Below are 16,787 nucleotides of genomic sequence, written 5' to 3'. Positions count from 1 at the left end.
AAAAAAATTTATTTTACTAATAGGATGAATGGAATTTATACATGTTACACCATGAATCTCAACCTATAGCTAGTTTTCAATCACCATAATTAAGGGATACTTTTTTTGCTTATATTTTTCCTGTAAAACTAGAAAAATTTTAGTACTTACAATTACAAAATCAATTTTGTTACTTTAATCTTTGAAAACAAGTGACTTTTCAACATATCCCAAGAAAATCAACTTATAATCCATATCGTCTATGAAATCAAATTAGTATTTATAGAAAATTGGGTAATATAGTTTTTATTGACGTATATGTAGATGTTTTTCTCTTATATCTAGCTGAACTTCTGACCAAGAAACTCAGGAAATATGTTGGACATCTCTGGCATTTTCTAATGCTCTACTCTCCATCCTTGGTCAGGGTACAATGTAAATTAAAGAGTCCTAGGCTCTGTCCTCTCAGTAGGCCATGTTGAGACAACGTTGGGATCTGAGCAGAAGAGATACAAGAGGAAAGATATACTCTTGGTTTCTCTTCTCCTCTCCAGGTAGTGAAGAAATAGTTTTATGTATTCATGCTTTTTCAGTTTCTGTAAATGTTTTAAGAAAATAATAAGATTCTACTTCTGACACTGTTTGTAAACTGGTCCAGCTAACATCTAGAGATAAGCAGGAGTCAGGGGAGGAGTAAAGGAAAGAGCTGTCCAAAATTAATCCTTGGGAATCCCTCGGTCATTTGTTATAAGATTTGCTACCAATACAGAACATTCAAGTCTGTACCAAAATATAATCACAGGAGACAGAGGGGAAACGAGAGAAACGGATATACACAACTATTACGTTGCAACGTAGTACTAAAGCCAAATAACACAGGCTTCTTGGTGCTGAGTAATAACAACCACTGTGTTAATAACTTGACTCAGACAATCTTTTCATGTTTGAGTCTTAGCACTTACTACAGAGTGTGGCAAGTAGGAAATGTTGATTAAAGTCTGTTAAGGAAACAAACCCAGACTCTACAGGTAATGACAATTGTTCACGTTCAGAGGTTGAAACAGAAACGTCTCATAGTCAGATTTAATTCAGGCAATAATTCCCAACATACCTGCTAAGGTTCATCATTTTATTAGAGACCAAAAGAAACACTAAAATCTAAGTTTCATTGCACGAACTGGAGCTTCGGGGTTCCTCTGGTCTTAATAGAAAAGTAAACGTAAAACTTCTATATTCCGCATTCCTGAAGCTGGGCAAAGCAGTGGGGGTTTCAATTAAAAAACCACAGGAATGGAAAGGAATATGTCAATAAAACCACAGACTTGTAAGTACTGCATGCTAGTTTGCAAACAAACACAGCAAGCCTTCTAGGAGTACAAGTCTATTACCGTAGATTTAAACTGAATGTGTGATGGTGAAGGTGACTGTCTCAGCGTGTTTTTCCCTCATTTCATGTACAGGGAAATGCAAACCTGCATCCTTGGTTCCTTGTAGCAAATGCGATGAGGAAATTGCTTAACTGAAGAATGTGTCACTAGAGTGGCAAAAGTTGAAACAATACTAAATTGGCCTTCTAGGTAGGAAGATCACTAAAGTAAGAGAATTTTAAGGTTGAACTGACATACAATTAGTAATGCTGAAAAATTTTGTTTTTTTGAATCTAGGCATCAGGTTAATATCCATTTAAATTGCATGCTTTTCACTATAAAGCTTCTGCAGACAGAAGCAGAATACATTTGTTGGATAATTTGTTGGTTATGGAAAGATATACTCAGTACATAAAATGTTACATATTTTACAAGACTAAAATCAGAATAAAGGCAGTCAAGTTGAACAGAGCATAGGCAAAGTATTTAATTTATAATTCACTGTATATAGCTGTGTATTTCATTAAGATGCAATGTGTTGCAAGCACATAAGAGAAGATAGCTATGTGGGAAAAATTGGAGAGTTTACCAGGTCAATTACTTAGGCTAAATGTGGCTTAACTTTATTACTAGTTGATAACTAGTTTTAAATATATTGCCTTCTCATTATTTTTGAACTGTACATGCAATTAATCCTGTTGACCATCTAGTGTATTAAGGTTGTTTTGAACCACAAAGAAAATTCAGAATATTTTTGGTAAGGGCTATCCTACTTGACTTTGAGAAAGAATGCTTTCTTTTTCTTTCCACAGAAAACATGTTTATTTTATCCTTACTGAAGGACAACAGAAACAAAAGTCAGCTTTATTCAGTTCCCAACATTTTGGTGCTTACTGTATTGAGTCTAATGAAACACACTAGCAGACACAGCACTGCATGGAGTTTACTTATGGAGGGCTTTATTCCTGAGTACAAAATAAAAGGCTGGGGGTGAAATTGAATGTGTTTTCCCTTCTGAGGTTCCTTTTTATTGTAAAGGATATATACTGTAGTATTTCAGAAAATTCAAAGGTCGTGAGATGTCTTGTACTTCCTAGTTAATTTTCATGAATTAGAAGTTTCAAAAAAGTTTGATAGAGGTTTAATCCTAAATCTCTTGGTTATCTCATCAATCAGCTGTGGGGTCTTCTCATTTCTACAATATTGAAGTCTGACAATTACAAGCTGTGTTATTTTGAAGTCAAAACATAAGCACTTTTTTTTTTTTGAGACGGAGTCTTGCTCTGTCGCCTAGGCTGGAGTGCAGTGGCGCGATCTCGGCTCACTGCAAGCTCCGCCTCCCGGGTTCACGCCATTCTCCTGCCTGTGCCTCCCAAGTAACTGGGACTATAGGGGCCCGCCCCTACGCCCAGCTAATTTTTTTTTTTTTTTTTTTTTTTTTGTATTTTTAGTAGAGACGGGGTTTCAGTGTTGGCCAGGATTGTCTCGATCTCCTGACCTCATGACCCGCCCGCCTGCACAAATTGTTTTTAATGGAGTATACAGCATCCCGTATTCAAAAGTAGAATCTTAGTGATTAAAAACAGAGCATAGGACAAGTTCTTTCATCTCTTCACAGTGTGTCCCCAGCCTTCATTCCATCCAGTCCCTGACATAGAGTAGGTGCTTTATAAACAGCAGTTGATGGATAAAGAATTAATTATTGAGAATGTCATAATAAATGTAAGGAAATCTGAAAGCTAGACTTTTAAAAATGTTCCCTCCTCTGCTTTTTCTTTTCTAAGCTAGAACTTATTTCATGACAAAAATCACATGAAACATCTTGTTCCCTTAGGAACTGGGATACTATCCCAATTTTAGGATAGTATCACCCGCAAGTGAATAAGACTTAACAAAGAGCACCCTTTTGAAAATGGACACCAGCAAAACAAAATTCAAATTTATATGGAAAAACTCAGAAATTAGTATTTGATCATAAGAGACTTAAATACTTCTGTGAGGATTTGTGGTTGTTGCAAATCATAAGAAAAAAATATAATTGGATTTTATCCCTAACCTACTAAAATACATTATTAACAAAATATCAAATGTTTACTACTGAAATCCCTAAATGCTACTTAGTTATGTGCAGGTACATATTAGATGATTAATAATCAGTTAGCACAAAGCATACTAGAGTAGCTGTAAGTAGTTATTTATCTGATGTAACGTGCATACAAATTAAAAGGTTAAAGTTAATAATAAGCTGAGAAAGCTAAACAAATTAAGAAATAATGCATTTATCATTTGCTAAATGGTTTGACATTTATTAAAAACAAGGCATATTGCATAATCAGCTCCCAACACTAAACACAGTCATTTATGTATTAAAATGGATACCAATTAAAATTTAAAATGTTTTTGAACTTCTAATATAAACCCTGTTATTAGCACATTGCAGAATACAAAATTAAATATTTATTAATTTATTATATAATAGAATAATAATAGACTGACCATAGTTGAACTGTTGCTATGTTCCAGTAGTGTCAAACTATTTTTGAACCTACTTGCTTCATCTTTTTAGTTCCAATACAGACTGATATTCTGAGTTCAAGGTTATGTATATATGAATCAAGATCTATTAGAGCTCAAAGCTTATACTTTCTCCTCAAACTGAAAGTAAGTATATATGAAAACCTGTGCAGGTACACACAGACACACACATACACAATGAAGTATATAGCGGTGTGCCGTAGGGGCACTAATATGAAGAGACTGCATGAGCATGAAAAATTACCTTTTGCTGATGAGGGATTAGAGAAGAGTTGATGGATAAGTTGGCTTTTGAAGTAAGCTTTGATGCATTAGTAGTATTTCACTGGTCCAGTATGTACAAAACATGGTAGGTAAAGGAAAAGAAAACCTGAGATATAGGGGGAAAAAGCTAAATGAATGAAAAAATGATCTATACTTCTCAAATTACTGTTGGCTTTTTTCTCTTTTCAATACTATTCCCAAAACCTTACTCTGAGGCCCTTGTTTAAAAAGGACTTTTTTTCCTGAGACGTTTGCTAATAGGCACAAAATAAGAAACATAAATCAAAGCATAATTTTGATTTAATATCCTAAGAAGCTAACTTTGTATGTCTTCTAAATTAAATAAAACAAGTAAACTAAAATGTTCAGTTTGAGCCTATTAAAAACATGGACAGCACAAACTTGGATAAATAATATTTTACATGTATGTTTCTTCAACTTGCACTATATTATTTTACAAATGTACATAAACATGCATAAATTTACAATATATAAAGGATATTTTATATTATTATTTTGATCTTCAAAGATCTCAAACTCATAGTCAGAGATGAAGTTTAAACTTGGTGTCTTTTATAAATGAGATGTAAGTGTGTCTATGCTAATTTGAAGACTTTACACAGAGCTCAGTAAAACAGGGAGTATATGAAAATGATGAGCCATTAACATATAATATTAATGATCTAGAAAAACATTTTTCTAGAGACATAGAAATACCTTATTCTGTCTCTTAGCTAGTTCGCTAAGATACGTTTCTTATTTCTTAGAGACATGAAGAAAGAGATATGAAGAATTTTATTGTCAACACATGATATAAATTATCTCAAATCCATAGTATTAAATAAACTAGTGGTAACTGCTATGAGCATAAGATTGCCATTATTATGGAGCATGGACTTTTCTCAATATGAAAACCACTTCATCAAGTGACAGGATTTAAAAATAAGGTCAAATTACCTGAGCTGCTTTGCAATTAGTGGGAATAAATATTGCTATATATGCATGTGTGTAGAGATGCATCTACACACACATATGTATATACATACACACATGTATATGCATACACACATATGTATATACACAAACACATACACACATACATATACACACGTATATATGTATGTATATACAATTGCCCCTCGAACAACATGGGTTTGAATTGCATGTGTCCACTTATACATGGATTTTTTTGTCAATAAATACATCAGAAAATTTTTTGGAGGTGAGCATTTGTGGAAAAACTCACAAATGAGCTACATGGCCTAGAAATATTGAAAAATTAAGAAAAAGTTATGTGTCATGAATGCACAAAATATATGTATTCTAGTCTATTTTATTATTTGCTACCATAACATATATACAAATCTACTGTAAAAAAGTTAAAATTTAACAAGACATATGCACAGCAACACTTAACAGACCATACATAACAACATTGGCAGTCGAGAGAAAAGTAGACAAATGTAAAGATATAGCATTAAACCATAAGTTCATAAAACTAACTGGAGTACATAGTGTCTACTGTCATAATTTCCTAGGAGGTGTTTCCTAGCAACGCCTCCTGTTGCTATTGTGGTGAGTGTCAGGCCTCTGAGCCCAAGCCAAGCCATCACATCCCCTGTGACTTGCACATATACGCCCAGATGGCCTGAAGTAACTGAAGAATCACAAAAGAAGTGAATATGCCCTGCCCCAACTTGATGACATTCCACCACAAAAGAAGTGAAAATGGCCGGTCCTTGCCTTAAGTGATGACATTACCTTGTGAAAGTCCTTTTCCTGGCTCAAAAAGCTCCCCCACTGAGCACCTTGCGACCCCCACTCCTGCCCGCCAGAGAACAAACCCCCTTTGACTGTAATTTTCCTTTACCTACCCAAATCTTATAGAAACGGCCCCACCCCTATCTCCCTTCGCTGACTCTCTTTTCAGACTCAGCCCACCTGCACCCAGGTGATTAAAAGCTTTATTGCTCACGCAAAGCCTGTTTGGTGGTCTCTTCACACGGACGCACATGAAATTTGGTGCCGTGACTCGGATCGGGGGGCCTTCCTTGGGAGATCAATCCCCTGTCCTCCTGCTCTTTGCTCCTTGAAAAAGATCCACCTACAACCTCAGGTCCTCAGACCCACCAGCCCAAGGAACATCTCACCTTATATCTCTGCGCCCCAATCCCTTATTTCCGCGCCCTGACCTCTTATCTCTGTGCCCCAATCCCTTATTTCCGTACCCCGACCTCTTATATCTCTGTGCCCCGATCCCTTATTTCCGTGCCCCAACCTCATATCTCTGCACCCTGATCCCTTATTTCCGTGCACCGACCTCGTATCTCTGCGCCCCAACCCCTTTCCCACTTTTCTGGAGGGTAGGAACCCCTGAACCGCTTCCCTCCATGTCTCTACTCTCCCTTTTCTTTAAACTTGCCTCCTTCACTATAGGCAACCTTCCACCCTCCATTCCTCCTTCTTCTCCCTTAGCCTGTGTTCTCAAAAACTTAAAACCTCTTCAACTCCCACCTGACCTAAAACCTAAATGCTTATTTTCTTCTGCAATGCCGCTTGACCCAATACAAACTCAACAGTAGTTCCAAATAGCCAGAAAACGGCACTTTCCATTTTTCCATCCTGCAAGATCTAAATAATTATTGTCGTAAAATAGGCAAACGGTCTGAGCTGCCTGACGGCCAGGCATTCTTTTACACATCGGTCCCTTCCTAGTCTCTGTGCCCAAAGCAACTCGTCCCAAATCTTCCTCCTTTCCCTCCCGCCTGTCCCCTCAGTCCCAACCCCAAGCGTCACTGAGTCTTTCTTTCTTTTCTACAGATCCATCTGACCTCTCCCCTCCTCCCCAGGCTGCTCCTCGCCAGGCCAAGCTACGTCCCAATTCTTCCTCAGCCTCTGCTCCTCCACCCTACAATCCTTTTATCACCTCCCCTCCTCACACCTGGTCCGGCTTACAGTTTCGTTCCGCGCCTAGCCCTCCCCCACCTGCCCAGCAATTTCCTCTTAAAAAGGTGGCTGGAGCCAAAGGCATAGTCAAGGTTAATGCTCCTTTTTCTTTATCCGACCTCTCCCAAAGCAGTGAGCATTTAGACTCTTTTTCATCAAATATAAAAAACCCAGCCCTGTTCATGGCTTGTTCGGCAGCAACCCTGAGACGCTTTACAGCCGTAGACCCTAAAAGGTCAAAAGGCCGTCTTATTCTCAATATACATTTTATTACCCAATCTGCTCTCGACATTAAATAAAACTCCAAAAATTAAATTCCGGCCCTCAAACCCCACGACAGGATTTAATTAACCTCGCCTTCAAGGTGTACAATAATAGAAAAAAGTTACAATTCCTTGCCTCCACTGTGAGACAAACCCCAGCCACATCTCCAGCACACAAGAACTTCCAAACGCCTAAACCGCAGTGGCCAGGAGTTCCTCCAGAACCACCTTCCCCAGGAGCTTGCTACAAGTGCCAGAAATCTGGCCACCAGGCCAAGGAATGCCCGCAGCCCGGGATTCCTCCTAAGCCGTGTCCCATCTGTGCGGGACCCCACCGGAAATCGGACTGTTCAACTCACCTGGCAGCCACTCCCAGAGTCCCTGGAACTCCGGCCCAAGGCTCTCTGACTGACTCCTTCCCAGATCTTCTCGGCTTAGCAGCTGAAGACTGACACTGCCAGATTGCCTCGGAAGCCTACAGGACAGAGAGCTCTAAGTAACTCTCACAGTGGAGGGTAAGTCTGTCCCCTTCTTAATCAATACAGAGGCTACCCAGTCCACGTTACCTTCTTTTCAAGGGCCTGTTTTCCTCGCCCCGATAATTGTTGTGGGTATCGACGGCCAAGCTTCAAAACCCCTGAAAACTCCTCAACTCTAGTGCCAACTTGGACAACACTCCTTTATGCACTTTTTTATTTATCCCCACCTGCCCAGTTCCCTTATTAGGCCGAGATATTTTAACCAAATTAGCTGCTTCCCTGACTATTCCTGGGCTACAGCCACACCTCATTGCCACCTTTTCCCCAGTTCAAAGCCTCCTTCGCATCTCCCTCTCGTATCCCCCCCCACCTTAACCCACAAGTATAAGATACCTCTATTCCCTCCTTGGCGACCGATCATGCACCCCTTACAATCTCATTAAAACCTAATCACCCTTACCCCCCTCAATGCCAATATCCCATCCCACAGCACGCTTTAAAAAGATTAAAGCCTGTTATCCCTCGCCTGCTACAGCATGGTCTTTTAAAGCCTATAAACTCTCCTTACCATTCCCCCATTTTACCTGTCCTAAAACCAGACAAGGCTTACAGGTTAGTTCAGAATCTGCGCCTTATCAACCAAATTGTTTTGCCTATCCACCCCATGGTGCCAAACCCGTATCCTCTCCTATCCTCAATACCTCCCTCTACAACCCATTATTCTGTTCTGGATCTCAAACATGCTTTCTTTACTATTCCTTTGCACCCTTCATCCCAGCCTCTCTTCGCTTTCACTTAGACTGACCCTGACACCCATTAGGCTCAGCAAATTACCTGGGCTGTACTGCCGCAAGGCTTCACAGACAGACCCTATTACTTCAGTCGAGCCCAAATTTCATCCTCATCTGTTACCTATCTCAGCATAATTCTCATAAAAACACACGTGCTCTCCCTGCTGATCGTGTCCAATTATTCTCCCAAACCTCAATCCCTTACAAAACAACAACTCCTTTCCTTCCTAGGCATGGTTAGTGCGGTCAGAATTCTTACACAAGAGACAGGACCACACCATGTAGCCTTTCTGTCCAAATAACTTAACCTTACTGTTTTAGCCTAGCCCTCATGTCTGCGTGCAGCGGCTGCCGCTGCTTTAATACTTTTAGAGGCCCTAAAAATCACAAACTATGCTCAACTCACTCTCTACATTTCTCATAACTTCCAAAATCTATTTTCTTCCTCATACCTGATGCATATACTTTCTGCTCCCCGGCTCCTTCAGCTGTACTCACTCTTTGTTAAGTCCCACAATTACCATTGTTCCTGGCCCGGACTTCAATCCAGCCTCCCACATTATTCCTGATACCACACCTGACCCCCATGACTGTATCTCTCTGATCCACCTGACATTCACCCCATTTCCCCATATTTCCTTCTTTCCTGTTCCTCACCCTGACCACGCTTGATTTATTGATGGCAGTTCCACCAGGCCTAATCGCCACTCACCAGCAAAGGCAGGCTATGCTATAGTATCTTCCACATCTATCCTTGAGGCTACCGCTCTGCCCCACTCCACTACCTCTCAGCAAGCCGAACTAGTTGCCTTAACTCAAGCCCTCACTCTTGCAAAAGGACTACGTGTCAATATCTATACTGATTCTAAATATGCCTTTCATATTCTGCACCACCCTGCGGTCATATGGGCTGAAAGAGGTTTCCTCACTACACAAGGGTCCTCCATCATTAATGCCTCTTTAATAAAAACTCTGCTCAAGGCCGCTTTACTTCCAAAGGAAGCTGGGGTCATTCACTGCAAGGGGCATCAAAAGTCATCAGATCCCATTGCTCTAGGCAACGCTTATGCTGATAAGGTGGCTAGACAAACAGCTAGCTTTCCAACTTCTGTTTCTGACAGCAACGCTTATGCTGATAAGGTGGCTAGACAAGCAGCTAGCTTTCCAACTTCTACCTCTGACAGCAATGCTTATGCTGATAAGGTGGCTAGACAAGCAACTAGCTCTCCAACTTCTGTCCCTCACAGCCAGTTTTTCTCCTTCACATCGGTCACTCCCACCTACTCCCCTGTTGAAACCTCCACCTATCGATCTCTTCCCACACAAGGCAAATGGTTCTTAGACCAAGGAAAATATCTCCTTCCAGCCTCACAGGCCCATTCTATTCTGTCATCATTTCATAACCTCTTCCATGTAGGTTACAAGCCACTAGCCCGTCCCTTAGGACCTCTCATTTCCTTTCCATCATGGAAATCTATCCTCAAGGAGATCACTTCTCAGTGTTCCATCTGCTATTCTACTACCTACCCCCCAGGGATTGTTCAGGCCTCCTCCCTTTCCTACACATCAAGCTCAGGGATTTGCCCCCGCCCAGGACTGGCAAATTGACTTTACTCACAAGCCTTGAGTCAGAAAACTAAAATATCTCTTAGTCTGGGTAGACACTTTCACTGGATGGGTAGATGCCTTTCCCACAGGGTCTGAGAAGGCCACCGCTGTCATTTCTGCCCTTCTGTCAGACATAATTCCTCGGTTTGGCCTTCCCACCTCTATACAGTCTGATAACGGGCCAGCCTTTACTAGTCAAATCACCCAAGCAGTTTCTCAGGCTCTTGGTATTCAGTGGAACCTTCATATCGCTTACCATCCTCAGTCTTCAGGAAAGGTAGAATGGACTAATGGTCTTTTAAAGACACACCTCACCAAGCTCAGCCTCCAACTTAAAAAGGACTGGACAGTACTTTTACCTCTTGCCCTTCTCAGAATTAGAGCCTGTCCTCGAGATGCTACAGGGTACAGTCCATTTGAACTTTTATATGGACGCACTTTCTTGCTTGGGCCCAACCTCTTCACAGACACCAGCCCTCTAGGTGACTATCTTCCAGTCCTCCAACAGGCTAGACAGGAAATTCCCCAGACTGCTAATCTTCTCTTGCTTACTCCAGATCCCCAGCCATATGAAGACACCCTAGCTGGATGATCAGTTCTTGTTAAGAATCTGACCCCTTAAACTCTACAACCTCGATGGACCGGACCCTACTTAGTCATCTATAGTACCCCAACTGCTGTCTGCCTTCAGGGTCCTCCCCACTAGGTTCACCATTCCAGAATAAAGCTCTGTCCATCGGACAGCCAGCCTAATCCCTCCTCTTCCTCCTGGAAGTCGCAAGTACTCTCCCCTACTTCCCTTAAACTCACTCGTATTTCTGAAGAAGAGTAATAACCCTTATGAGCCTAATACATCCCTTCATTCTCTTAGGTCTGTTTGTCCTTACCCTACTTTTTGCAACAGGGCTTTACGAAGTCACCCCCACCACTTAGGACGAGCCCCAAAAAACTTGTCATCCCTACTATTTTCTGTCTAATCATACTCCTATTCTCCGTTCTCAACTACTTACAAATGCCCTACTCTTGTTTACACTGCCGGTTTACACTGTTTCTTCAAGCCATCACAGCTGATATCTCTTGGTGCTATCCCCAAACCGCCACTCTTAATTCCCTCTTAGAGTGGGTAGATGATCTTTGCTGGCAGGGCACCCTCCAATACTTCCACCCTGATGAAGTTCTATTCTTTACTTTTATACTTACTCTTATTCTCATTCCCATTCTTATGCCACCCTTTACCTCTCCCCAGCTATCTCCACCACACTATCAACCTTACCCATTCTCTCCTAGCCGCTTCTAATCCCTCCTTAGTGAACAACTGCTGGCTTTGCGTTTCCCTTTCTTCCAGTGCCTACACAGCTGTCCCCACCTTACAGACAGACTGGGCAACATCTCCTGTCTCCTTACACCTCTGAACCTCCTTTAACAGCCCTCACCTTTACCCTCCTGAAGAACTCATTTACTTTCTAGACAGGTCCAGCAAGACTTCCCCAGACCTTTCACATCAGCAAGTTGCCGCCCTCCTCCGCACTTATTTAAAAAACCTTTCTCCTTATATTAACTCTACTCCCCCCATATTTGGACCTCTCACAACACAAACTACTATTCCTCTGGCTGCCCCTTTATGTATCTCTCGGCAAAGACCCACTGGAATTCCCCTAGGCAATCTTTCACCTTCTCGATGTTCCTTTACTCTTCATCTCCGAAGCCCAACTACACACATCACTGAAACAATTGGAGCCTTCCAGCTCCACATTACAGACAAACCCTCTATCAATACTGACAAACTCAAAAACATTAGCAGTAATTATTGTTTAGGAAGACACTTACTCTGTATTTCACTCCATCCTTGACTACTTTCCCTTGCTCATCAGACTCTCCTCCCAGGCCCTCTTCTTGTTTACTTATACCGAGCCCCGAAAATAACAGTGAAAGGTTGCTCGTAGATACTCAACGTTTTCTCATACACCATGAAAACTGAACCTCCTCCTCTATGCAGTTACCCCATCAGTCCCCATTACAACCTCTGACAGCTGCCGCCCTAGCTGGATCCCTAGGAGTCTGGGTACAAGACACCCCTTTCAGCACTCCTTCTCACCTTTTTACTTTACATCTCCAGTTTTGCCTCGCACAAGGTCTCTTCTTCCTCTGTGGATCCTCTACCTACATGTGTCTACCTGCTAATTGGACAGGCACATTCACACTAGTTTTCCTTACCCCTAAAATACAATTTGCAAATGGGACCGAAGAGCTCCCTGTTCCCCTCATGACACCAACACGACAAAAAAAGAGTTATTCTACTAATTCCCTTGATGGTCGGTTTAGGACTTTCTGCCTCCACTATTGCTCTAGGTACTGGGATAGCAGGCATTTCAACCTCTGTCACGACCTTCCGTAGCCTGTCTAATGACTTCTCTGCTAGTATCACAGACATATCACAACTTAATCAGTCCTCCAGGCCCAAGTTGACTCTTTAGCTGCAGTTGTCCTCCAAAACGGCCGAGGTCTTGACTTACTCACTGCTGAAAAAGGAGGACTCTGTATATTCTTAAATGAAGAGTGTTGTTTTTACCTAAATCAATCTGGCCTGGTGTATGACAACATAAAAAAACTCAAGGATAGAGCCCAAAAACTTGCCAACCAAGCAAGTAATTATGCTGAATCCCCTTGGGCACTCTCTAATTGGATATCCTGGGTCCTCCCAATTCTTAGTCCTTTAATACCCATTTTTCTCCTTCTTTTATTTGGACCTTGTATCTTCCATTTAGTTTCTCAGTTCATCCAAAACTGTATCCAGGCCATCACCAATCATTCTATATGACAAATATTTCTTCTAACAACCCCACAATATCACCCCTTACCACAAGACCTCCCTTCAGCTTAATCTCTCCCACTCTAGGTTCTCACGCCACCCCTAATCCCGCTTGAAGCAGCCCTGAGAAACATCGCCCATTCTCTCTCCATACCACCCCCCCCAAAAAATTTTCGCTGCCCCAACACTTCAACACTATTTTGTTTTATTTTTCTTATTAATATAAGAAGGCAGGAATGTCAGGCCTCTGAGCCCAAGCCAAGCCATCACATCCCCTGTGACTTGCACATATACGCCCAGATGGCCTGAAGTAACTGAAGAATCACAAAAGAAGTGAATATGCCCTGCCCCACCTTAACTGATGACATTCCACCACAAAAGAAGTGTAAATGGCCGGTCCTTGCCTTAACTGATGATATTCTACCACAAAAGAAGTGAAAATGGCCGGTCCTTGCCTTAAGTGATGACATTACCTTGTAAAAGTCCTTTTCCTGGCTCATCCTGGCTCAAAAAGCTCCCCCACTGAGCACCTTGCAACCCCCACTCCTGCCCACCAGGGAACAAACCCCCTTTGACTGTAATTTTCCTTTACCTACCCAAATCTTATAAAAACGGCCCCACCCCTATCTCCCTTCGCTGACTCTCTTTTCAGACTCAGCCCGCCTGCACCCAGGTGATTAAAAGCTTTATTGCTCACACAAAGCCTGTCTGCTGGTCTCTTCACATGGACGTGCATGAAAGTGAGCTCAAGTTTGTGAGTAGCTTCTTAAAATGTCATGTGATGCTAATCACCTCCACATGTGCAGTTAGTTCATCTCTGCAATAAATTGTGTATCACAGTAAAAAGTAATCTCTTGTGGTTCTTGTGTATTTTTCATCATGTTTACTGCAATACCATAAATTGGATAACACCATGGAATGCATTTGGAGTGTCAGTAGTGATGCTGGAAGTGGCTCCCAAAAAGCAGAGAAAAGTAAAGGCATTTCATTACAAGAAAAAGTTGAATTGCTTGATACGCACTACAGATTGAAGTCTGCAGCTGCAGCTGCCTGTCATTTCAAGGTTAATGAATTCAACATAAGAATGATTGTAAAAAAGGAAGAAAATGTATAGAGCTGTCACTGCAGCTACACCAGTAGGTGCAAAATCTTTACACTTTTTGAAAAATACCTTTTTATCTCATATTGAAAATGCAGCTTTTATGTGCATGCAGGATTGCTATTAATATAAGAAAGACATACCTATAAACTCTAATATGATTTAGAAAAAATGAAGACATTATATGACAACGCAAAGGGTAGGTGAAAGCTCTACAGCTGGAGAATGTAATGCCAGCAAAGGATGGTTTGATAATTTTAAAAAGAGGTTTGGCTTTTGATATATTAAGATAACAGGAGAACGAACTTCTACCAACCAAGAGGTAGCAAATGAGTTCCCAGGCACCATTAAGAAAATCATTGAGGAGAAAGGATATCTTCCTGAACAAGTATTTAATATAGATGAAAGTGTCCTATTCTGGGGGAAAAATGGCAAAAAGGACATTTATTAGCATGGGAAAAAAAGCAAGCACCAAGATTTAAGGCATAAAGGACAGGTTAACTCTACTGTTTTGTACAAATGTAGGCAGGTTTATGATCAGGACTGCTCTTATCTATAAAGCTGGTAATCCCTGAATCTTGAAAGGAAAGGATAAACACCATCTGCCTGTCTTTGGGTTGTGCAAAAAGATGGCCTAGATAATGAGAACCCTTTCTCTAGATTGGTTCCATCAATATTTTGTCCCTGAAGTCATCAAGTACCGTGCCAGTAAGGGACTGCCCAGAACCCTATGAGCTCAATACTGAAGGTGTCAAAGTGGTCTACATGCCCCAAAACACAGCATCTCTAAATCAGTCTCCAGATCAGAGTGACGTAAGAACCTCTATGCTGCATTATACACAGTAATGTAAAGAATTGTCAATCTTATGGAAGGCAACTCCGACAGAGAGAACATCATGAATATCTAGGATTACATCACTGAAGATGCCATTGCTGGTATAGAAAAAGGCGTGAAAGCCATCAAGCCTTAAACAATAAATTCCTGCTGGAATTTCCTGCTAGCATGTCCAGATGTTGTACATGACTTCACAGGATTTACAACAGAGCCATGACAGGGATTGTGAATATGGCACACAAAATAAAGGCAGAGGGTAAAGGGTTTCAAGATAGAGATCTCAAACCAATTCAAGAGCTAATAGACACCACAGCAGAGGACTTAACAGATGACAACTTGATGGAAATGAGTCTTCCTAACCATCGTGGCAGATGCTGAGGAAGAAGATGTAGAAGAAGCAGTGTCAAAAACAAACTGACCTCAGAAAATATGACAGAGGGTTCTAATTATTAAGACTTCTTTTGACTTCTTTACAACATAATCCCTTCTATGATATAGGCACTGAAACTAAAGCAAATGGTGAAAGAATAATTAGTATCATATAGAAACATTTTTAGACAAATGAAAAAGCAGAAGCACCAGACAGAAATTATGATGTAGTTCTATAAAGTTACACAGAGCGTGCCTGGCTCTCCTGCCTCCCCTTCCACCTCCTCCACCTCTTCTTTCTCTAAGACCCCTGAGACAATAAGACCAATCCCTCTTACTCCTCCTCCTCAGGCTACTCAATGTGAAGATGATGAGGATAAAGATCTTTATATGGTCCACTTCCATTTAAGGAAGAGTAAACATTTGCTCTTCCTAATGATTTTCTTTTTTTTTTTTTCTTATTTTTTTTTATTTTTTTTTATTATACTTTAAGTTTTAGGGTACATGTGCACATTCTGCAGGTTAGTTACATATGTATACATGTGCCATGCTGGTGCGCTGCACCCACTAACTTGTCATCTAGCATTAGGTATATCTCCCAGTGCTATCCCTCCCCCCTCCCCCCACCCCACCACAGTCCCCAGAGTGTGATATTCCCCTTCCTGTGTCCATGTGATCTCATTGTTCAATTCCCACCAATGAGTGAGAATATGCGGTGTTTGGTTTTTTGTTCTTGCGATAGTTTACTGAGAATGATGATTTCCAATTTCATCCATGTCCCTACAAAGGACATGAACTCATCATTTTTTATGGCTGCATAGTATTCCATGGTATATATGTGCCACATTTTCTTAATCCAGTCTATCATTGTTGGACATTTGGGTTGGTTCCAAGTCTTTGGTATTGTGAATAATGCCGCAATAAACGTACGTGTGCATGTGTCTTTATAGCAGCATGATTTATAGTCCTTTGGGTATATACCCAGTAATGGGATGGCTGGGTCAAATGGTATTTCTAGTTCTAGATCCCTGAGGAATCGCCACACTGACTTCCACAATGGTTGAACTAGTTTCCAGCCCCACCAACAGTGTCAAAGTGTTCCTATTTCTCCACATCCTCTCCAGCACCTGTTGTTTCCTGACTTTTTAATGATTGCCATTCTAACTGGTGTGAGATGGTATCTCATTGCGGTTTTGATTTGCATTTCTCTGATGGCCAGTGATGATGGGCATTTTTTCATGTGTTTTTTGGCTGCATAAATGTCTTCTTTTGAGAAGTGTCTGTTCATGTCCTTCGCCCACTTTTTGATAAATGGTGCTGGGAAAACTGGCTAGCCATATGTAGAAAGCTGAAACTGGATCCCTTCCTTACACCTTACACAAAAATCAATTCAAGATGGATTAAAGACTTAAACATTAGACCTAAAACCATAAAAACCCTAGA

At 41.1% G+C, this 16,787-nt stretch overlaps 3 annotated features.

The window, feature by feature from the left end:
* Positions 5,615-6,128: an enhancer, noted in NCBI's record as "OCT4-NANOG hESC enhancer chr16:59556466-59556979 (GRCh37/hg19 assembly coordinates)". NCBI's record gives its function as "activates a minimal SCP1, AML or CMV promoter by ChIP-STARR-seq in naive H9 embryonic stem cells {active_cell/tissue: H9 hESC(naive)}" and the evidence as "EXISTENCE:reporter gene assay evidence [ECO:0000049][PMID:30033119]".
* Positions 12,912-13,471: an enhancer, noted in NCBI's record as "OCT4-NANOG-H3K27ac hESC enhancer chr16:59549123-59549682 (GRCh37/hg19 assembly coordinates)". NCBI's record gives its function as "activates a minimal SCP1, AML or CMV promoter by ChIP-STARR-seq in naive and primed H9 embryonic stem cells {active_cell/tissue: H9 hESC(naive and primed)}" and the evidence as "EXISTENCE:reporter gene assay evidence [ECO:0000049][PMID:30033119]".
* Positions 13,472-14,030: an enhancer, noted in NCBI's record as "OCT4-NANOG-H3K27ac hESC enhancer chr16:59548564-59549122 (GRCh37/hg19 assembly coordinates)". NCBI's record gives its function as "activates a minimal SCP1, AML or CMV promoter by ChIP-STARR-seq in naive and primed H9 embryonic stem cells {active_cell/tissue: H9 hESC(naive and primed)}" and the evidence as "EXISTENCE:reporter gene assay evidence [ECO:0000049][PMID:30033119]".

Source organism: Homo sapiens, chromosome 16, assembly GCF_000001405.40.
Source record: "Homo sapiens chromosome 16, GRCh38.p14 Primary Assembly".
Classification (NCBI taxonomy): Eukaryota; Metazoa; Chordata; class Mammalia; order Primates; family Hominidae; genus Homo; species Homo sapiens.
This window is presented reverse-complemented; position numbering and strand designations above follow the sequence as displayed.